The sequence below is a fragment of the Homo sapiens genome, chromosome 4 (genome assembly GCF_000001405.40).
Source record: "Homo sapiens chromosome 4, GRCh38.p14 Primary Assembly".
In the NCBI taxonomy this organism is placed as follows: domain Eukaryota; kingdom Metazoa; phylum Chordata; class Mammalia; order Primates; family Hominidae; genus Homo; species Homo sapiens.
Genome location: NC_000004.12, coordinates 80,013,696 through 80,037,782, shown reverse-complemented (window position 1 = coordinate 80,037,782; position 24,087 = coordinate 80,013,696). Strand labels below are relative to the sequence as shown.

Genomic DNA, 24,087 nt, shown 5'->3' with positions numbered 1-24,087 from the left:
GCAAATCTTTTCTATTCTATTTCCTTCAGAGTCTTGTTATCTGAATTATGTCCAAATTTTTAAAGATGTTAGTGATTTGAAATACTACCCTTCCAAGAGGGCACATTAACCTTTAACAAGAGTTCTTAATTCTTGAATCCATAAAAGTGAATGTTGGTTATTGTAGATAAAGTAGCAGACCAAGAGGAGGTATTTGGGTGCAGAAAGGTCTTTGAGTGCCTATGGAATCTCTTTGGTCATTTCTGGATTTAAATGGGCCTCATCTGCAGTTTCTCAGATATAAAATTTTACGAGGTTTGTTTTCTAATCACAAAATCCTCAATCACTATGTGAAAAGTTGAGTTTATTGGAAAGTTATCTTAAAAAGTACAAATTTTCCCTCTTTTCAGAGATGTATATTCAGCAACAAAGTTCCATGATTTGACACAGTTGATTTTAGGGGCTGAGAACTTATAGTTTTGCTGTTATTAAAGAAAGCACAGAAAGCATGTCTATTTCCTGCTACAGTCCTTACTTCCTATTCTAGTTATGAAAAGGAGATGCTAGAAACTGCTGTAAATAATCTGTCTTCAACTTCTGCCAAGAAAGGAATGTCAAGAAAGGAATTCTGGAGATCATCTGGAATTTGTCTGACTGATAATATAGTGCAGAGCAGTTCTAAAAATAAAGACAGGATTGTTGTCCATGAGGAGCAGCGTATTTCATCATTGTTTTTCAGTTGTAGCCTTGTCCCTTGTGTGGTGGTTTCTGTTTCTCAGAACAAGCTAAGAAGAGCAGTTCTGTTCCTGTGTTCTGGGAATGCTTGAGTATGGAGTCTGTGTTTTTAAAAAGAATATTGGCTCATATAAGGAGTCTATGTTCTGCAATTGTAATTTTTTATGCAAGTAAGAGGGACTAGCACCCACAGGAATTAAGCCTGAGAAATGGGATAGAAATGCCACTGTCCAATAAAGAGAAGTGCTTTTTAATTTTAATTTTAATTTATTTATTTGTTTGAGACGGAGGCTTGCTCTGTCGTCCAGGCTGGAGTGAAGTGGCATGACCTTGGCTCATTGCTGTGTTAAAGCGATTCTCCTGCCTCAGCCTCCCGAGTAGCTGGGATTACAGGCGCGAGCCACCATACCTGGCTCATTTTTTGTATTTTTAGTAGAGACAGGATTCACTATGTTGGCCAGGCTGGTCTTGAACTCCTGACCCCAAGTGATCCCTCTGCCTCGGCCTCCCAAACGGCTGCGATTATAGGCATGAGCCACTGTGCACAGTCAGAAGTGCTTTTTTATTGATATTATTTTGAACCACCGCACCCAGTCAGCAGTGCTTTTTTATTGATATTATATTGGTCTTCTGAACAGAAAACATAACAGCATTACTAAACAGGGGGTCTGATTTGTTATCTTGTTTTTGCTTGATTGGGAAAGTCAACATAGATTTTATGGCAGCAGGAAATTTTAGTTATCTATTCATACCCAAGGTTATCAGACTTTGAGACAATGCTCACTTTTCCTGTGCTTATCTGAATTTACTTTAATCAAATAAGGATCCTACAGTACATAATCTTAAAATATACCCTGAAATACAGTGCAGAAGTTTCCTAAGAACTTGGTAGCTGTACACGCTATAGTTAATAGATTTTCTCTGAGATCTATTGAAGTATGGAGAAGACCTCAAGGTTATTACTAATCTTATAATTTACTTCACATTGTAATTTTAGATCTATAGCTTGGTAATCTTTTTTTTTTTTCTTTTTTAGATACTAGCTCAGTCATGTACTGAAATCCTAGAATTGCAGCCCTCAAGTGTCTGTGTGGGGGGTAAGTGTTTAGAATTTAAAAATACCATGTAAGAAATTGTATTTTTTTCCTAGCTAAAATATATGATATGAAACTCATGTTGGAAAAAGAATAGCAAAATTAACTTTTTTGGCATCTTTTTTGTGTAAGAATTTTTAAATAATTCCTTGAAATATTTCTATTTTAAATTCAAATTTTTAAGATTGGAATGTTATTTTAAATAATGAGCATATTGTGTGACAGGCTTTTAGAATCTTCTGTATATTTAGTTCACGCTTGAGACCTTTCCTATGGCAAATAAAATAAAATATGAAATTGTTTCTTTTGTCTGATTATACAAACAGTCAGGTATATGTAGACTTTGAGCTCCATGCTTTGATGACCTGGACAAAGTACAGAATCTGCCAGCTCAGGGCACATAAGGAAGTGACTTATGGACGGATTGCAGGAAGGAAGCAGGTGGCTTTATCAGCTGGTGCTAAGCACATACTCAGGTTTTCACACCTCCCAGCCATCCTTGCCCAGACAGAGTGTGATTCTCTCTGGCCTATTTTGTTTCTTTTTCAAGCCTGACCTACAGTTCATTTTAACCTGACTTTACTTTAAAAAGGAAAAATATTGGGTCTGGTGGGGGAGAAAATATGTTGTGTAATGTACCATAGAGCCTCTCAGCCAGTTGTGCATGGTCTCACATTCTGCATCTTCTAGATTCCCTAATGAATGAATATGGAGATGTTTAAGGAAAGTAGTGCATCTGAACTTCCCAGGGAAGGATTATCTTCCCTAACAGTGAAGGTTAATACATTTCTAGAGATAACAAAGAAAAATAAATGGAAAAATAATATTAAAATAGTAGCTGTTGTTTATTAAACTCCAATTTTGTGCTGAGGGTATACTGGGTTGTTTGCATTTATAATTTTACCTAATCCTTATAACAACACTATTGAAAGTTTTATACATCCCTGGTTTACAGATGGGGAAGCTGAGGCAGAGACAGGTTCAGTACTTGCTACTAGTAATTACCCTGTTTGACCCTTTCCTGTCTGACTTGAATGCCCATACTCTTACCGAATCACATTTTACCTGCACTTTATTTTAACTTGCAAGTGAAATTCCTTTCATAACATAGTAAATGAAAAGTGGGTTGGCAGTAGTTTCTTGCATAGTTAATGACTATATTATACTTGTATTATGTTAGATATGAGAAGTTTTAGAGGACTGGTAATGTTAAATTAAAATAGAGAACAGGCCTGAAGAAGCCTTAAGCAGGCAAAAACACTTAGGCCTCGTAAGTAGCCTTAACCTTATTTGATTTACAAATATAATTGGAATTTAATTTGAACTATTTATTGTCAATGCCTACATTAAGAAAAATAGAATTTAAGTGCAACCAATCAAAAACAACCAACAAACTTATATAACTAGGGACTTTCCACAGGATAGACCAAACAAGGCAACTGTGTAACTATAACCCGTCAAATACTTTCTTTGGTTTACTTCCACGTTGGTTCTATAAAAGCCTCCCCCTTGTATTCCCTTGGTAAAGCTGCCAAACCTCTTCTGATTTGGATCTGTCTAATTCAAGAATCTTCTGCTCAAATAAACTATTTAAAATTTTATTTGTGCTTCAATTTACCTTTTAAATAAGCGTTAATCACTATTAAAATAGTTAGTATACTATCTTGCAGCTTAGCAGTAAACATGCATTGTCTGTCAAGATATTTGATCAGTTAACTTTCATTCCAGCCTATTCTCTCACTCTCTAACAAGTTTTAGTGCTTGCTTCTACTATAAATAATGGTACAATAAGTTAAATCAACTTTTGTGACTGGCCATCGATTATTAGTAATTCAAAATACGTGATCTTTTGATTATTTATAGGTTTGAAATAGAAAATGAATCAGGATTAGTAAGGTGAAGAAGTGGTTAAAGAAGAATTCTGTATGGAACAGGCATAGATTAAAGAAAGTACTACATACGACTTTTCGAAGAACTAAAAAACGTACATAATTAGTTTTATTTACATTCCCAAACTTTAATACCTGAGAGTAGGGAAAAACAAAGTTTTTTCCCCCTGGTATTTTCCTAAGGATAGAAGTTGAGGAGGTTTGTATAGTATCTGTCTGGGAATGACTGTTAATGCTTCTGTTCTATACCTTGGTCACTACTGGGAATCACTTTGTTTAGAAAATAAAATAATGCATCCCCATGTGGCAGTGAATGGTATCTTCACTACATTTACCTAGAGGGTCTGGGAAAGCCAGCACAGTTGGAAATATAGAGCTATGTCTTCATTGCTATTAGTTAACTGAATAGTATGAAAAAAATTATTCTTTGCACCTTAATACTTTCATTTCAGCTTGTGTTTTTTATTTTTTTGGTAAAGCAGTGATTAAATGTTTATTTTTCCTTTTACTTCTAGAGGAATTTCAGATTGTCTTAAGTGGAAGAGGATTCATGCTGGGCAGTCGGAATGGCAGTGTTCTCTGCACTTACACTGTAAATGAAACATATACAACGAGTAGGTCCCCAGTAATCTCAGTGTTGTCTTAATCTCTGCAAAGCACATCAGCATCAAATGTTTTCTTTTTTTCTCCAACGAAAACTAACTGACATATTTTTTAATCTAAGAAGAAAGAAATGAAGTCTGAATGATAATACAAATAGTAGTGATAATTATTTAATAGTTATTTAATAATGGCAACATTTGTTTATAACTTAATAAATGCTGGACCCTGTCCTAACTTCCCTCATTGAACAGATGATGGTTTGTGGCTAAAAGAATGAAATTACTTGCATGTGGTTACACAGCTAATAATGGACAGAGCTGATATTTGAACCCACTTTTCCTGACTGTACTCTGTACCTACTACATCAAACACATGATTTAATTGCTTCTTTCCTCAGGCTTCTTTCTTGTCACACCTGCCTTAAAATCTAATTATCTTCAGCTTCTCTCCTACTTGTTCCTTTTTTTCTTTCTTTTTTTTTGTCACTTGTTTTCTTTATCTAATTTCCCAATAATTTGTTAATTTATTGAAGATAGTCTTTTTTTGCCTTATAGATTTTTGCATCTCAAATTCTCACCCAGCATAGTTTTGGTTGATAATTTTCGTATTTATTGAATTGAGTTTTAATTTTCCCTACCTTTGACTTTTAAAAAAGCCAAGAGTACGTTTTTGTTTTCATTCTGAAAAAACCCTCCCTCTTAAATAGACCTTAGTTTTCTGAGCATCTTGAGTATCTATATAAATGTTTTTCCTTATTAATTATTATTTGCCCTTCAAAATTTATATTGTAAAGCAGATTTTATAACTTTGTAAACTCTGGTAGAGTTATTTTTTTAGATTCATCTGCCATTTTGCTGTTTATCTGAGTATAAACACTCCAATTAACACAGCTTTGGCCATACACACAGTACCTATTCAATATGTGTTTATTGAATTAAAATGGTAAGGATCTTAGCATGCTAAATGTCATAATTAATTCCTCTCTTTTCTATTAAGATCACAATTTTAGTAAGGCAAAAATTTACAAACTCTCTTCATAGTAGGTTCCACAATTGAGTAGGACAAGATAATTTTATTTTTATTCAGTAGTCATTTGTATCTAAGCATTAGCTTCACCTAGCTCCTTTTGATTACATATTTGAGTTCATTATAAAATAAACGTATTTCATGTTTAGCTACATAAGATTAGGTTTATTAAAGTAAATCCTCAAATAAGTGAAATTGGTATTTTCCTCTTTTAGATTCTAGAATGATCAGTTTGACTAAGTAACTTTTCTGCATATTTTAGTCTAAATCATTTTTTTCATATTTTATTAAAGTTACAAGGGCGATTTAAGTATGTGACTTCATAAAATGCATTTATTTATTGTAGACAAATGTTTTATTAAACTTGTGAAATAAGTTCATTTTCCTTTGGACATCTAACTTTCACCTTCCTTCATCTTTTCTAAAGTGTGCTTTTAAAATAATACGGAGCATTTGTTTTTAAAAATCTGAGATATTTAAAAAATTTAAGAGAAAATATATTTTATAGTATCTAGAATGGTATGTGAACTTAGTCTAAGTCAAAATAATCCTAACTTATGATTTACCAACACTATATGTCAATGGAGCATATAATCTCTTTCCATTTTTCATTCCCTTTCACTTCTCTTTCTTTAGTTTTTTTATGTTAATATATCTAGTATTCCACATTTGAACTCTGATTGAAGCATGCTGTTCATATTATTAATGAAACTGTGTGAGATGCATAAAACCCTTTACTAATTCAGTGGCATTTTATTTTCTAGGTGTAAAACCAGTAAGTGTACAGCTTAATTCTATGCTTTGTCCTGCACCTATCCTGAATAAAGCTGGAGAGTAAGTACTTAATTTAAAACAATTTTATAACATTTTTAGTAAAAAATTATTAGAAAATGGTGACATATACATTGGTCATTTTATTCTATCTTTTTTTGATATACAGAGCATTAAAAAGTAAGCCTTGGGCAAGCCACTTAACTTAGTACTAGGCAAGCAAGTTAGTACTTCAGCTATACTCTTAGTAGGTTGAAAATGCTAAAAAGTGTTTTAGCTAGTTTCTTCAATACTGATTAAAAGGCTCTATGAATATTTATCTGGATGGGTTTGAGAACTATTATTAGAATCTATAAATAATCAGAGCCATAAACATTATTTTAAACACACACACATGCACACGCACACACATGTGTGTGCATGCACACACCCAGTTCAAAAGTGAGATTTTCAATAATTACTATAGTATTTAATAAATATTGCGATTAAAGTGCCTCAAGAACATGGCTAAAAAAAGGCACACCTTGCACTAGGAAATACTTGTACATTTGTATTAACTTGTGCTTTGTGTTCCATTTCTGTTAAGGTCTATCTTTTCATCTTCTTTTGTGTGGCCAAAAAACCACGATATCTGCTAAAAAGAAAAATAAATTTAGTTTGGATGAAGGAGTCTTATTTGAATTGTTTATACACAAGTAATTCTACTGATAATTTAGTGTTCCCATTTGTGATTTTTTTCAGTTCTATGATGAAGCAAATGATTACAAATAGTTCAGATATTCTCTAGCCCAACAGTAGAGCATGTTTAAGATAGTTAATAGGATACAGTTTTCTAGGATCTCTTTATATAGATCTGATACTGAAAGCAGGGAAAAATTACATATACAAGGCCACAATCCAAAATCTGGATTAGTATTTAGAGACTGAAAATGATATTTTCCTCTATGAAACTAAGAAAATCATTCTAGCATTTTTAAGCTGACTTGAACATTTATCTTTTGTGGATACTTAAATATTCAAGATATCTATCGCACATCACTTTTGGTCATGCAAGTAAATTGGAGCAGTATCAGCTTTCTGTTTTAAATAGATTCAAAGAAGCTGCACAAGATGGCTTACAAAACTAAGAGTATTATTCGTTTTCTGTATCATGTAATAATCTATGTTATTGACAACATGCCTGTGGCTAAATTAAATTGGCATTGGAATTTGAGGCAAGTCAGTTTCTTGTGGAGCCATCTTAACCCCAAGCACACCGTAGGACTCAAGGCTTTCTGAATAATCGTGTCTGTATTAGCCATGATACATCTATTGACTTAAAGTTTAGTCTTGTTTTAGTGAATCTGTAATTCCAGGTTGGTCCTCCTGAATATTCCCCCAATCTATCTCCCAAACTGTATTTTCCATTTTAGTTATTGGCAGCTCCATCATTTTTGTTGTTCAGGTAAAAATCTTTTGAGTCATTATTGATTTCTTTCTCTCTCTTAGACCCAGTCTATCAACAAATCTTAGCTCTAATTTCAAAATTTATCCAAAATCCAATCTCTGCTTTCTACCTATACTGCTACCATTCTAGACCAAGTTACTGCCATCTCTTGCTTGGATTATTAGTCTCTCAACTGGTCTTTCTGTTTCCATCCTTCACAAGAGTGATCTTGTTAAAACAGATTATTTTATGTCATCTCTTCACTTAAGATTCTCTGTGATGAGTTCTTTACCCCACTCAGAGTAAAGTCTAATTAGTGTAATACTGTACCAGGTTCTACAGGGTCTGGCCTCTCATTCCCTCTCAGACTTCATCTTCTATTTGCTCTTTCTACTCAGTTATGGTCACACTGGCCTCTTTGCTGTTCTTGACCACACCTGCACACTCCTGCACCTGCACTTTTATACTTCTTGTTGCCTCTGCTTGGATTGCTCTTCCCCTGATGTAGAACTGTATGTGAACTTAGTCTAAGTAAAACAAAACAAATCCTAACTTACCCTATTTAATCATGCAATCTTCCTCTTTGAGTCTGTAACCTGTATACCTTTTTCATGTTTTATTTTTTCTCCAAAGCCAATTGTTTGTCTGTTATTATGTTTCTACTTCCTGCTAGGACACGTTTTGTCTTGTTTCTTGTTGTATTACTAGCACTTAACACAATGTCTGACTCATAGTAGATTTACTAAATGTTTGGTGGATAAAAGGATGAATGAATTTTTCTTAAATATTTTTGTTTACCAGTTAACATAACGATCTGAAAGAGGTCATTTGATTGGTGGGATCAGGTACTTGTACCAGGATAGAGGAAAATGGTCAGAATTTTATTTTGGGGGGCCATACTATTTAAAGCAGAAAAAAAAAATCTTGGCTTTCAAATAATAGTGACTAGTTAAAGAAAGTAATTTACTTTCTTCTCTGAAGTAGTTATAAAATGCATTATGCCTGTTTTATCCCAGGCACTGATTTTGTTTTCTCTAGAATTTGCCTTTGGGCACAGTCTTCTTTAGAAGAGAATACCATCGGGGCTAGTGATACACTTTAATTATTTGTAGATAGGTTAAATACCCAGGAGATACATTTTTTAATCACACATAGCATAATAAATATCAGACATGAGAAATCATCATTCATTTAGATTTTGACATTAATATTTCACCTACAAGCAAACTGAGAATGTTCTGGGACAGAGATGTGTCTAAAAGAATTGCTTTTGTCTTCCTTTCCTGGATCAGGTACATGATACCATTGAAGCAAAGCTTTAGATTTTATTTGTTAATGTACTGGGTATTTGGGGACATCATTATTTATTTTACTTAGTATGTTGCAAGTAATTTGGACCTTTCCTGTGCCTTGAATTTTCTTCAGACACTTTTGTAGGTGATGAGCTCTCTTATGAGATTGGATTGAAATCAACACAATTGAAACAGTTTAGCCTTGTAAGGTGACTGATGCTTAATATGTTTGCCTAATTAGCTTTTGGCTAAGGATTCAAACCCATTAAGTAGCTAGTTAGTCTATGTTTCAGATAAACACATCTGGCCCAACAATGAATGAAGGTTTTTCCTGTGTGAGGGTGACAGATGTGGTGATAGTTCCCCTCATTCTCTCACTTAAATAATTAACAACATGCTGGTGAAGTAACCCTAGACAGAGAGCCTCAAAGCCAGATGCACAGTCTCAGAGCTGCATCCATGGGCATGTGCCTCATCTCATTAGCCTGCTCTATCCGTTCTTTTCTTATCTTTATGTTATTTCATGAATTTCACTTTGTTTGAGGATTATTCTTTTAAAAACTTAAGGCCTGTGGATTTTGGTTTAAAAGAGCATGTGGGAGATGGGGGAGTAAGAATGTAGCCGAGTAGCTAGGACATAGGTCGTCATTTGGAATTTGATGTTATGGAGTAAAGGAAAGTTAAAGTTATCTGGGCAAATCCTGTCCAGGTATATCATTTTGAGCATTGTTCAGATGGGTCTTTCAATAACTTTTTTTGATAGATCTGTCTGATACAGAGATCTGTATTTATTAAATTTCTTTATTTGATATAGATTTTTAGGCTAAGATGAACAAACTCTTATTATTTAAACAGAAAGAATGGTCATAGTAGTGAGGTTGTTTTCTATTTTTTTGGATGAACACGGTTTACTTTTAAAATGGTGTATGATTAAACAAACTGTTTTACCAAGAAAAATCTGCCTATTATTTAGAAATTTATTTCTAAAAGTGGTTCCTTTGTGCCAAATTGTCTTCTTTAAGTTTGAATAGGATGCATTCTCTGATGTTCTTTGGATGTTCCCTAATCCAGGGCACTAGCCTCACAGTTTAATGTGCAAGTATTACAAGTATTTGCAACGTGGGCTTATTCTATGACCCTTGTTTTGTGAGACATCAACAATAGCACAGCTGTTCTGCAATAGTTGAGATCTCAAACCTGTAATTTGGCAAGAAGAACAGAGCAAATTGGGTAAATATACATAAACACATTGTGAAGAAAGAAAAACAGAACAGAATGAACCGGAGTCTTATCCTACAGTTTTTTTGATAGAGATGATTTAAGGAGGCATATGGTATAGTTAAATGTGCTTTCAAAAACATTGGCCAGAATCTTCTGGCAAATATGAAATAAATATCTAAATCAGATGAAACTGATAGTATTAGTTCTCTTAAAAGGCAGTGTGGGAAGACACTTGACAGAGTGTTTTGAGAAAGAAGTGGTGGGACGTCACTGTCTGTGGAAAATTTCAAGGAAAACTGAAGGATCATTGAGATGAACAGTGTGGCAGAATTGAGGTTAGAGCCTGGCTTCATAATAGAATCTTTTTATTTTCTTCAACTTTTTTTTTCAGTATTAAGCCTAATCTATTTTTCCTGGAATAAAATTGATTAATTCTATTTCTCTTTCTTGATTAGATAAATTCTGCCTTTACTACAGTTTCTGTTCTTTCCAAAAGTATACTTCTATCTGTATGTGTGTGTATGTCTATAGAATCCCTAATTCTCTTATGTTAGTAGCAGGTGATACAACCACAACATTATTCCTTTTGCTTCTTGTGAGGAATGAGATTTTATTTTTTGGAAAAATCATGGATATTAAGACATTAGTTATGTCTTTATTTGAATATGAACATTAGAATCATGATGATATGGGTTAAAGCTAAGGGCTTTCTCTGTTTCTCTACCCCACACTTCCTTGGTGGAACATTTCTCTTTTCCTTCACATGGTGCACTGTTTTCAAATTATATCTATCAATGTGATAAGTTCACCTCATCTGCATTGCCTCTTCATCCTAAGTATTATATACGGTTCTGGCAATGTCTTTTAACACATGAACACCTGGAGGGGTGGCTAATAAGATGTCACCATGTATGGGAATGTTAAATAGGATACAATTTAAAATACTGAAAAAAATACTATTCAGATGTGATGCATTAACTCTCCAAACATTGGAAGATCTGTCACATGACAGACAGATTTGAATTGTTCTTTATTGCTATAGGAGAAAAAGGGTGAAGTTAAGGGGAAGCACATTTCAGATCAATATAAGGAAATACTTTCTAAAATTTAGAATTATTTAGTAGATAATTCTACTAAATTATTTAGTAGATAATTATTTGGACAATGAAAAGTATTTAAAGATGGACACCTATATGAGGATGTAGAGAATATTCTTGAAATAGGTACTTAAATCCTCTTATATATCTGCTTCTAAATTTTATATTATCAAAGCTTTTCATTATTACTAAATGTATTAGTCCGTTCTCACACTGCTATAAAGAACTGCCGAGACTGGGTAATTTATCAAGGAAAGAAGTTTAATTGACTCACAGTTTTACATGACTGGGGAAGCCTCAGGAAACTTAGTCATGGCAGAAGGCTAAGGGGGAGCAAAGACCTTCACATGGTGGCAGGAGAGAGAAGTGCAAGCCCAGGAAAAATGGCCACTTTTAAAACCATCAGATCTCGTGAGATTCACTCACCATCATGAGAACAGGATGGGGGAAACCATCCCCATAACCCATTCACCTCTTATCAGGATCCTCCCTTTACACGGGGGGATTACAATTCAAGAATGAGATTTGGGTGGAGACACACAGCAAAACCATATCACTAAGACTCTTTAAAGTTTTGGATGAAAGGCACTCAATTTGATTGATTTAGGCACTAAATTGACTTGGTGATTGTTTTTTAAGTGTCTTTTTAGAATGTTATTAAAAAACACACAGCAAATGGAAAGTGCTTATTTTTAGTGCAATACTCAGAACAATTATAATACAGCTTTCCTGTGATGTCCAGTAAATCTCTGAATATAGCTCTTTTTCCTTCTGAAATGTAGACATCTTGCTAACTGCAATTTTTGTTTTATCTATTACACATATTGAGATATGCTAAAAATAAGTCATTTAATTCAAAAATCTTTTAGCCACTTTTAAGAAAGTATCCTTAGTCAAAACATTAATTTACATATAAACTAATTACTAGAAGTGGTACCTTTAAACTATTCATGAATATGGAATCTTATCTTCCAACTTAAAATCTTTATCATTCATAAAACTATCTTTTAAAAAGCACTGCAGAACATTAAATAGTATCACTTGATTTCAAAATATCTTAAGTCACCATAATTGTAATAACTTTTTGAGTAGCTGCCAGTTTAATTTTCAGTATGTGCAAATTGAAGGTAAATTATTTATTACTTCCAGCAAATGTCTTTCACAATTTTATTTAATTTTTTCATCCTTTTTAATGGATCATAAAATGACAATCTTTTATTGGATATATATAAAGTCAGAAGCAAATGAATACTTTGCAAATATGTTACTGTGGATTGAAATGTCAATCATAATTCATGGAGTATAACATTTCTTAGATCAGAATAGCTATGACATATGGCACTGAGCCATTCTCCTGTTTTGGAAGAGTCATGCATCTTTAGACATTAAATAGAAGTATGTGACTATTAGGACTTAGTGAGTTTTATTTACTAAATTGTGTATCATAGTACTATTTAATAATTTCTCATGTGGAATGACTTTACTATGTTTGAATTTAATTTTATTACTATTAATTGTCAGTTGACATGAAAGTACACTTCAATCAATCTTTTTGTTACATTAAGTTGTTAAGCTTTCTTCTATCCTTCTACTTTGAAAAAACATATTTTAATGATGGAGCAAAGCATGGATTAAGATATTTGTTAAGAAATATTAAACAGTGTAGAACCAATTTATAGAAAATTAAGTTGAAAGTGTTGCCATTTCCCAGCATTATCTTCCCTTACCTCCCTGTATTATCTGCACAAGGTGCCACTCTTGTCTCAGAAGGTTTTCCCTTGTCTTTTGTGACTTCATATTCTCACCCTAGCTGTTTCTCCCCTTTCTCCTCAGATATCCCTTTAGACTACTTTTGTTTTTACAGTCTCTTAACTGTCAGTTTTTTCTTTTTGAGGTGGGGTCTCACTGTCACCCAGGCTGGAGTGAAGTGGCATGATCTGACTCACTGTACTTTTGGCCTTTCTGGCTCAGGTGATCCTCCTACTTCAGCCTCCTGAGTAGCTGGGGCTACAGGCATGTACCACCACACCCTGCTAATTTTCTGTACATTTTGTATAGACAGGGTTTCACCATGTTTCCCAGGCTGGTCTCAAACTCCTGGGCTCAAGCCAACCACCCGCCTTGGCCTCCCAAAGTGTTGGGATTACAGGCATGAGCCACAGTGTCCAGTGCCCCTCAGTTTTTATCATGGTTGGAGGATACTTGACTTATAAACTCACCCTTTCTATGGCTCCCTTTTTCTTCCTGATGAGCTCCAAATTTCCTGGCAAGATCTTTTTACTAGCTTTAAGTCTGCTGTCCAAATGCCTCCTATCCAAATGTCTACAAAGTCACTTGGATTTTCTACAGGCACCTTAAACTTGGAGGTCCCAAATTAAACTCACATCCTTCTGTTCAAACTTGCTCCTTCTGTGTTCCCTATGCAAGACTGCCCACCTACTTGTGTAAGACAGAAACTTTGAGGTCATCCTTTTTTCTTCTTCCTCACCTCCTACATCCAATAAATGTCCATGTCCTTTTTATTCTAACTCCTAATATGTCTCAGTTTTTGTTTTCACACTAACCTCATTGCCACTATTTTAGTTCAATTCTACTTTGGTACTTATTTCAAGTACACTGAGACTTTCTTAACTGGTCTTTCTACTTTTGAAATTTATTCTTCAGACCCCTGCCTTACACTGTAACAAGAATGATATTTGTAAAACACATTTCTAACTATATTTCTATCAAACTTAAAACTCTTAAGACGAATTCCAGATGTCTAAAGATGGCATCCAGGGACTCAATGATCTTTTCTCTGCTCCCCTTTTCAACCTGGAGCCATTTCATTCTTACTCTCACCCTCTTTTGTTGCTGGAGTACTGAATCACTTTTACTGCCTTGACTGTTCTGTCCCTGTCCCTTTCTTGCCTTCCACCCTGTCGGAGTGCTCCATCTGCATGGACTCCTTTCTAATCTCATTTCCTAACTTCTGATCATTCTTTAAGCTTCATCCTGTAGTCGACTTCCTGCAGGAAAACTTTGCTAATGCCTCTATGCCAAGGCCAAGTCTGTTGAATCTCCCACACAGCCCTCTAGAACCCCTGTGCCTAAACCTATTTAATATCGCATTCTTTTGTAATTGTTTACGGGGCTTCCTTTTATTTACATTGTAATTTGTATTATTTGTTACTGCAGCCATTTTACCAAGTACAGCCCAATTATCATTGCTACTACAATCAATTAATAAATACTCATTTAATTAACTAGTAATAAAATAAGTGACTGATTGAGTGATTTTATTGGCAGATATTCCTAAACCAATTTGGAGTGTGATTTTAGGCCTGAGGTTTAAGCACAGAGCTCAACATAGCTATAATGTTGGATTTAATCAAGGTCATGTTTTATAACAGGAAGAATATGGCATTGAAAAAATTTTTTACATGAAACTGCCTGACATTATATAGTAGGCATTTTTTGAACAATTTAGCTTACAATATTTTTATATGGCAGTGAGCAGAATAGAAATTAATTAAATTAAACAAAAGGTATTACATAATGATTTTATTGCTTCTATATACATTTCTTCTTAGCTTGGATCTAAAAGGTTTATTAAAAAGTACCTTGATATTCTAAATAATCCATTAGACAAATATTCAGGTGTTAACGGTAATTTATGGAGTACCTGTTGTGTCCCAGGTATTGTGTTGTATATTTTATGTATATTATTTTACCAAGCTCTGTTCCTTAAAACAACTTTGAAATAGGTACAGTTATCCCCATTTTACAGATTGAGAAATGGAAGATTAAAAATGGAGTGATGAGGGTTCAAACTCAGGACTCCAGTTTCGCCCAAATGCCCTTTTTCAATATTATTAGATCCTTGGGGCAAATAAAAATGAACTGCTCTCTTGCTTCCCATATATGTTTGCAACTAAGTAAACACAATGTTGTTTTAATACATTTTTGCCCATAAGAAAGCCTCTGTTACTGAGCGTATGGCTTCCACTGTCAGAAACATACTAACTAGAAGTAGAAGTTATGTAGGAGTAGGAATAACAATCCATAGATGCTAACAGAAATGACATAAAATATGACAGAAAACACTAAATATGTATAGTTGACTCTTGAGGCAAGGAAAGCTTACCGAATTTGGTTTGCATTACAGTGGGCGGTTTTCTCAACCTATGCCAGAAAAGGAGTAGCATAGCTTTGGGCAAAGGCTCTAGCTTAATGATGGTGCCAGTACCATACCAATAATTTCAAAAATGTTTTTCTAAAGAAGCAGCAAAGTTTAAAAGCAGATGTAACTGTGTTTTTCATATTTGCAACTTTTCTGAAAAATTTTCACAGAATACATATATCTATACACACATATTCATAAATATATATATTCACAAGTAAATATATTGCTTTAGCATATAGTAAATGCCATTCTAGTTAACCATGAGAAATATGTGAATGTAGTAAAAAGCTAGAAGATTCAAATGAAACTCATACTAATGAGAGAAATTTAAATATAAGATGCTAAAATACATGTGGAGGATTAAAGTAGTATGTTGTAGAAGTGAAAGCATTTTGAGTACAGAGTCAGTGAAGTCCAATATTTGGACAAGTTACCTTTATAAGCTTGTTTCTTCATGGGCAAAATGGAGATGATGCTAGTGCTGACCTCAGTAGGTTGTTGTGAGAATTAAATGAGAAGATGAATTAATGTGTCTGGTTCTTAGTAAGAAATCAACAATTGCCTGTAATTATGAGTGGTGTTTATGGTTACATTTTGATCACGCTGCTACTACTACTCTCAAAAGGAGGAAGATATTCTTGTTTCAGTTCCATACATCATATATCATCAAGTGGATTTCTATATCTGCGGAGAATTAACTCAGTTTTTGTTTTTTTTTTACACCAGCCACATTATACTAGAATGAGATTTTCGGAGAATGCAGTTATTTTTGTCGGTTACAAGATCATATCAGCATGCATTTCTACCATAGGAAAGAGTAAACTTTGTTTTAAAATGACATCTTCTGTTCTCATTTCATTTTTTTAAGCATTAAAAGTTTGAATGTTTCCTTCATTAATTAGAGAACTTGTTCGTTTCTGGTGAATTTTAACTGTCAGATTATAAACAACTTCAGTCAATGTCTACTGATCCCTTAAAGTTGAATCAGTAAGATTACCTGCAAGAATCACATATTATTATGAATGAAAATTATCTTTCCAAAAAATAAAACCATGCCAACATGTCAGATGATTCAGGCCACATTCTTTAAAGTAGAGGAATTAAGAACTAGGGAAGACAATTTTTTATTTGATTATGCTTAGTCATTAAAAAAACAAAACAAGGCACCCATTTCTTCAGAATGAGCAATTAGGTTTAAGTTTTCTTTCTTAATACGCCACTTGGCCTTCTGTGTTGGAATAGTTCAGAAGTATAGTTAATTAGATGTAAACATCCGGAATTCTTATTCTCTTCTGGATTTAGCTAAACCATCTTTTTTTTTTTTTTTTTTTTTTTGAGATGGAGTCTCGCTCTGTCGCCCAGGCTGGGGGTGCAGTGGTGTGATCTCGGCTCACTGCAACCTCTGCCTCCCGGGTTCAAGTGATTCTCCAGCCTCAGCCTCCCAAGTAGCTGGGATTACAGGCACGTGCCACCATGCCCGGCTAATTTTTTTGTATTTTTAGTAGAGACGGGGTTTCACCGTGTTAGCCAGGATGGTCTCAATCTCCTGACCTCGTGATCTACCCAAAGTGCTGGGATTACAGGCGTGAGCCACTGCGCCCAGCCTAGCTAAACCATCTTTTTAAACAAGATGCTTTGAAGTAAATACTTTACACAGAAATATTTTAATAGAAGTATTTCTATATTTTGATTGAATTTAGCTTGAACTTTGCCAGGAATATCCTTCCCAGTAGCTTTCTTGTATGAATCCAAACCAAATAGCACATTGAGAAAAAAAACACATTAAGGACTTTGATTTCATCATTTAATCAAGCCTCTCTGATATGATGGAAAGAGTTCAAAGTTAGAATCCTAGCTGTATTACTTTGGGCAAAGTAATTAACATTTCTGGGCCTCCTGCCCCCCATCTGTAAAACTGTGAAACTACTATTTACTTCAAGGGCTATTGTGAAGGGTTGAAATAGATAATGCCCATAAAATGCCTAGGATAGCATCTGGCAATAGTAAGAACTGAATAATATTTCTTATCTCCCCTTTCTGTCAACAGCTTGAGATTGTTTCTGGGAGTTTGTTTTTTGTTTTTGTTTTTGCTTTTTTTTTTGACAGAGTCTCACTGTGTTGCTGAAGCTGGAGTGCAGTGGCTCAATCAGAGATGACTGCAGCCTCAACCTCCCAGGCTCAAGCGATCCTCCTGCCACAGCCTCCTGAATAGTTGGACCTATAGGCACATGCCACCATGCCCGGCTAATTATTTTTATTTTTACTTTTTGTAGAGATGGGCATCTCACTGTGTTGCCGGGGCTGGTCTCAAACTCCTGGGTTCATGCAGTCCTCCCACCTCAGCCTTCCAAAGGGCTGGGACTATAGGCGTGAGCCACCATGCCTACCCTGTGGATGGATGGCTTTGATTTGTTTGCAAACCAATTATATGATAATATCCTTTGTAAACTATTTTGGAAAAGAGCTCTTTCCATACAAACCCTCTTGTCATTTTTTTCCCTTTTGATATCTTGTTTTAGTTATTTTTATAATAAAAAATTACTAACTCTAGGCTAATCCCAAATAATCAATCTAAATTAATGAAATTTTAATGATTATTACTTGTTTTATAATTTGAAATCATATTTTCAAAATAAGAACTATATTTTAACTATAATATTTCTTAGCCAGGGACAAAAATTATTATCTCTTCTTTGTACCTTTGTCGGGATATTTTAATATCTTTGGACCATCTGCAACAAATACCTGCAAATAAATCTTTCTCCCTTTCTTTTCTTTGTTGCTGTCTTTCATATTCACTTTCTTTATATTTTATTTTTGACTGGTTTATTGCTTCCAGTTTTATATTCTTAGTAGTAATACCTAGAGACAGAGAAATAGGCTAAATGGGATCTAAAGCTTTTCTTTCTTTGTAGGTTTTTGTGAACCTGAAACAACCTTGGCATTTTTCTGGATTTAGAAATTTCTTAATGCCTGTATTTCTGTTACTACTTTGTAAAGAAACAATTAGTCCACTTAATAAGTTTGCCTGACTAATAAGTAAAGACTAGAACTAAGGAAGAAAAAAGCTGGCATAATTTACCAAAAGCTGTGACTCTTACTCTTTCCTTTTTTTTGAGACTGAGTCTCGCTGTTGTCGGCCCGGGCTGGAGTGCAATGGCATGATCTTGGCTCACTGCAACCTCCGCCTCCCAGGTTCCAGCAATTCTCCTGCCTCAGCCTCCTGAGTAGCTGAGATTACAGGGGCCCACCACCACACCTGGCTAATTTTTGTATTTTCACTAGAGATGGGGTTTCACTATGTTGGCCATGCTGGGCACGGTGGCTCATGCCTGTAATCCTAGGACTTTGGGAGGCCGAGGTGGGTGGATCATCTGAGGTCAGGAGTTTGAGACCCTTACTCTTTAAGTATGTTTTCTGGCTGGTTTTGAATTACATAAGGAAATAAAAATCTCCTACTCCTCTGGTTTTAAATGTATATAAAATTATTGTTTCTTTTCTTTTTCAGAACTCTTGATGTTTCAGTGAGCTTTAATGGAGGAAAATCTGTCATTTCAGGATCATTAATTGTCACAGCCACAGAATGTGTAAGTAAAAGTTTGCACAAAGATTATCTTTTAAAAGCAATTCCATCCAGAAATAATCTATGGATCTTTGGTGTTGTTGCATACTACAATAAAGGAGATGCAAACAATAACATTGGAGACCATTACAAGGAAAAATTTTGTATAGAATTCGTTTTGGGTGGCATTGCTTTTTTTTATGTTGAGCTCCCTTTTATAGGAACTTTAAGGTAGTATGCATTTGATTTTCATACTTATAGAATTTAAAAGGCATATTTGAAATCAAAATAAGGTAAGATAATAATTTACAAATGAAGCACTTTTTTTCTTAAAACATTAAATATAGAAATTATGTTTTCTGTTAGGAAGGTTAGATTACAGTATCTAAACATTTATCATGGTTTGAAATCAAATTATTGCATTTTAATGTGTGACTTTTTTATTTTGTTCATTTAAAATATTGGTGCTTTCTGAATGAGGAAGTTGACTTTGACAGCTTGATACTATCTTAATTTGTAACCACATCGAATATATATTTTGAGATTACTGATTTGCATTACCTAAATGCAGTATTTTGAAATATAAGCTCCATTCAGTAGACATTTTCTTCCTTTTATTTAATTTTGTGGATTTATAGAAAGTTTCAATATTATATTATTGCACGTGGAAACGGGCAGCACTAAACAGGACCAACCACATGGTTATTATTTCTAAATATATTTTGTAAAAAATATGTAAATCAAAGCAAAAAAAGAAAAATTCCTGCCCTCCAAAAGACCAAAATCCTAAACCTAAACATTTTCTCACATCTCACGGTTTCATTGTTTTATATTTTGATTTTGATCTACTAATTCGAGAGATACCCTTCCAACAGAAAACAAAACAAAACAATTCAATGTTATCTGTATAGAGGTAGTTGCATTTCTCATTTTAAGACAATGCTTCAGGTAAAAGGCACATCATATGGACCCTTGGGTCACTTTTTAACTCCTTGGATAAGTCTTTACCAACAGCTACTTCTATTTTGAAAATAGCTAGGTTTTTTGTTTTTGTATTTGTGCTTTTTGGGGAGGGTTTTTTTTCTCCCATTTCTAGCGCATGTTGCAATTTGTAGATTTTGTGGATGTTGCAGTTTGCTGGTTTTCTGGTCCCTCAGGATGTGGTTGAAATTACAAATATTTGTGGTTTGTAGTTTCTCAGTGTTTAGCTCACTGAAATGGCATTCCTTCCTCATCCTTCTTCCTATTCTACACCTACAAACTGTCTTTTTCTTCCTTTCTTCCATGCAAGCAGGAAAACAGGTCTTTGTTCCTATCCTATAACAATGCATGATTTTCACATGCAAGGATGCTGAGGCTAAATGACTCATGTGGGATGTATAGGTTGGTGCTTTAAGGAAGACTTTCTAGTTCTTGCTCCTGAGTGAGGGTAATATGACTCAAGATGGTTTAAGAGTGGGGAGATTTCAGAAAAATGATCATTGATGTGTCAATGATGAGGTAAGGGGAAAGGAGCAAGCTGTAACAGTCAAGAAGGGGTCAAGATGATTCTCCGTAAGAAGGAAGGCTTTGAGAAAAGACTTGAAGGTAAGGGAGTGAGGCCTGCAGACCATCTGAGGGAATAGTGCTCCACACAGAGGGAGCAGCTAGAGCAAAGCCTGAGGTGACAAGTCTCTGGCAAGTTTCAAGAAGAGCAACCAGCCAGTGTGCTGGAATGGAAGTAGTCAGGGAGAGTGGGAGCCTCTGGATAAGGAAGAGAGAGTGGCAGGAGCAGGGCAGATCCTGTAGGGTGTATAGTTATTGTCAGGACCTGAGCTTTTCTTCTGAGTGAAACAGGAAGACCTTGGAAGGTGACATGATTTGATTCACTGTTTTGAAAGGATCACTCTGGCTGCTGTATGAAAACAGACTTTGCGAGTAGCAGCAAACGTGGAAACATCAAGCCCAATTCTGTGGCTATTGCAGTAATGCAGGAATCCTTCCCCACCCAGAGGAGGGTAGCCCCACTGGGGTGATCAAATTGGAGATGGTGAGAAGGGTTGAATTAGAATATATTTTACAGGGGAAGTTTATGGGATGCCTAGACAGATTAGGTGTGGGATGTGAGATAAAGAAAGAAATTAAGAATAGCTCCAAGTGTTTTTGCCTGAGCAACTATTAGGTTGATGCAAAAGCAACTGTGGTTTTGCCAAATAGAAGGATGAATTGTCATCAGGCACAGCAGTTTCAGAGCAAAGAGAAGTTCAGTTGTGGTGAGGTTGAATGAGGGATGTCTATTGGACATCGCAGTGGAAATGTCAGGCCCCTGAATATGCAAGTCTGGAGTTCTGAGAGAGGTCTGGATTGGATGTACAAACTTTGGAGCTGTTAGTTGTTGACAAATGGATGGAATAAATTAGGCAACAAAATTTCACATAATATTTACTGGGAAATAGTGGCTTCCAGGAGCTTAGAGCAAGAAGGGAAAGAGTACCAGAAAAAGGTTTTATGCTTGTGGAGGAACTGAGACAGACAGGGCCTTGAAGGGAGACTAGGATGTCAGCAAAGAAAGGGGATGGGGAGCATATTATAGAGAAAGAGCAAACAGGGTGGGGATGTGTTGACGAAATTGAGAGGAGATGCATTTGACTGGAGTAGAAATAAGTGGAAGGAATTCTTGGAAATAGAAAATGTAGACCAGATTATCAACAACCTAAGAAACCGAATTGAATTTAGAGTTCATCCTACAGGCTGTGATTCCCAAACTCTACGGTGTTGAAATGAAAAAAGGAAAGAAAATGGATTATATTTTTCATATTATTAGATTTATTCAACTTGAAAGAATTCTTTTATTTTAAAATTGTTCTTTGTCCTATTTTAATTTTAAAATATCCTTTGATTGAGGAAATACACTTCATTTGTCAGGACCGACCTCTCCCTCCTTTCCTTTCCTTTCCTTTCCTTTCCTTTCCTTTCCTTTCCTTTCCTTTCCTTTCCTTTCCTTTCCTTTCCTTTCCTTTTTCCTTTCCTTTCCTTTCCTTTCCTTTCCTTTCCTTTCCTTTCCTTTCCTTTCCTTTCCTTTCCTTTCCTGTCCTCTCCTTCCTTCCTTCCCTCCCTCCCTCCCTCATTCCATCCTTCCTTCTTTCTTCTCTCCCACCTTCCTTCTCCCTAGTCCTTCAGTCCTTTCTTTTCCTTCCTCATATTCCTCTCCCTCCTCCTGCTTCTTCTCTTCTTTTCTCTTTTTCCTTGTATGCTGTTACTTGGCAGAATTATTAGCTGGCAAGTTTATGTGAGCAGATTTTTTTTTTCAGGTTTTATTGCCTTGAGAAATCACAAGGTCTGACTCCAATAAATAATAATATGGTTTTAAAGAGCTTTGGACACACATGTGATGGTGAAACATACTATTTTGGGAAGATTAAATTAGTAATGACATGTAAGAGAAAGGACAGGAAAAGAAAAGGCACAGAGAAAGCTTTTAGGAAACAAATGCTAGAATATAGGCATAAAACTTTAGTTTCTAAATTGACTGATGGTGGTAGAAATAGTCCTAGAAATAGCCATATAAATTGTATTAATGAAGAAATCCATATTATAAAGTGACTTACTGGTGGTTATGGGGGAATGTTTCATTCCAAAATATTGAATCTCATGGGCTGGAAGAATGATGCTGCCATTGGAAACATCCAAAGCGAGAGGTAAATCTGGAGATCAGAAGAATTTTCATTGTAGACATGTTGTGTAAGTGAGGTTGGCAATGTCAAGCAGGTACTTGTAGCTATAGCTTCACATCTCGTGAGTGATCAGGGCTGGAAGTAAAAATTTAAGTTTTGCTTTTGCTGAGGTTGTAGGAAGGGGAAGAAAAATGGGACAATTTAGAGTTAATGTCATTTTGAAGTGGGGAGGAATACATAGAGTCAAAGACAAAAATGCACTGGACAAAATTAAACAGGAAAAGAAGACCTTGTCAAGACTGTTGCAAGAGGGAAGAGTGAATTTACCTGTGATGAAACAAAAGGTTGGAGAATTTTCAAAGCTAGGGTGGTGGGAATTATAGGCCACCAGTATCTGCTAATTGACCTTACCTAAAGGAAAAGTAAACTTTCTCCTACTTTCCTAATAGGAGGTAGTGCTAAAACTTGGAGCAAGGCACCACTGATGTTAGGTTTCTCCGCTTCTACAGAGACCGTGTGATAGGGGCACTATCTCCCTTGATGATTACATCTCAAAGGAATGGCTCCCAGGGCCTTGAGAAAGACAGTCCTCCAAGGTCTGTAAAACTGCTGAGAGTTAAAGGAGATTTAAATGCTTTTCAAAAGGCGGAGAAATATTTTGTGATTACAAGTTTTTATTTATTTATTTATATATATATATTTTTTGAGACTGAGTCTTGTTCTGTTGGTAGGCTGGAGTGCAGTGACGCCAGTTTGGCTCACTGCAATCTCTGCTTCCCGGGTTCAAGCAATTCTCATGCCTCAGCTTCCCAAGTAGCTGGGATTACAGGTGTGTGCCGCCACACCCAGCTAATTTTTTATTTTTAGTAGAGACGGGGTTTCACCACGTTGGCCAGGATGGTCTCAATCTCCTGACCTTGTGATTTGGCCGCCTCAGTCTCCCAAAGTGCTGGGATTACAGGCGTGAGCCACCTCACCCGGCCACAAATTTTTAAAAGTAGATTCTTAAAGAAAAGGGAGATCCAAGACCCACAGTTAGAAGAAATCCAATTTGACTGAAGTTTAAAGTTTAATCAAGCAGAAGAAATAGGTAAGGCTGTCTTGATGAATAAAGTAAGTGAAGAAATAAGAGAAAGAACTGCTTAAGACGTGGGAAGACCAGACACCGAGTGAAGAAGACAAAGGAAGATAGAATTCCAAGGTGAAGAGAGGGCAGCAGTACATGCCTGGGAGAGGCCAAGGTGAGCCAGGGCTGAGAAAATGTCCGAGGGGTCACCGGTGATCTCCCCGTGTCTGCCAAGGCTGATGACTTGAAGCCTTCTCTTTCTTATGACTTTTATTATTCCACTAGTTATTACAGGATAATAAATACTACAATTCAATTTTTCAGGTTGACAGTAATTATAGGAAAATTATTTTTCCTCCTTAAATTTAACCATTGCCTTGTATTTAACCTCAAATTCCTGTTGCCTGTGGTAGTGATATTACCATTCCATAGATATGAAAAGTGAGACTTGCGCTGATGAGATGCACCTGCTGATTTATGTATGAAATATCTATTGAAAATAGAAGAG

The 24,087-nt window shown here is 35.3% G+C and overlaps 1 protein-coding gene across 4 annotated transcripts in view; it reads left to right on the top strand.

The window, feature by feature from the left end:
- The window catches only part of ANTXR2 (ANTXR cell adhesion molecule 2), a 172,327-nt gene that overhangs the window by 35,690 nt on the left and 112,550 nt on the right, over window positions 1-24,087 (top strand). For all 4 annotated transcript variants that reach the window (NM_001286780.2, NM_001286781.2, NM_058172.6 and 1 more), the window contains exons 8-11: window positions 1,751-1,811; window positions 4,213-4,311; window positions 6,091-6,160; window positions 18,807-18,885. In NM_001286780.2, the coding sequence (NP_001273709.1) occupies window positions 1,751-1,811; window positions 4,213-4,311; window positions 6,091-6,160; window positions 18,807-18,885 (309 nt within the window). The remainder of the gene's footprint in view (window positions 1-1,750; window positions 1,812-4,212; window positions 4,312-6,090; window positions 6,161-18,806; window positions 18,886-24,087) is intronic.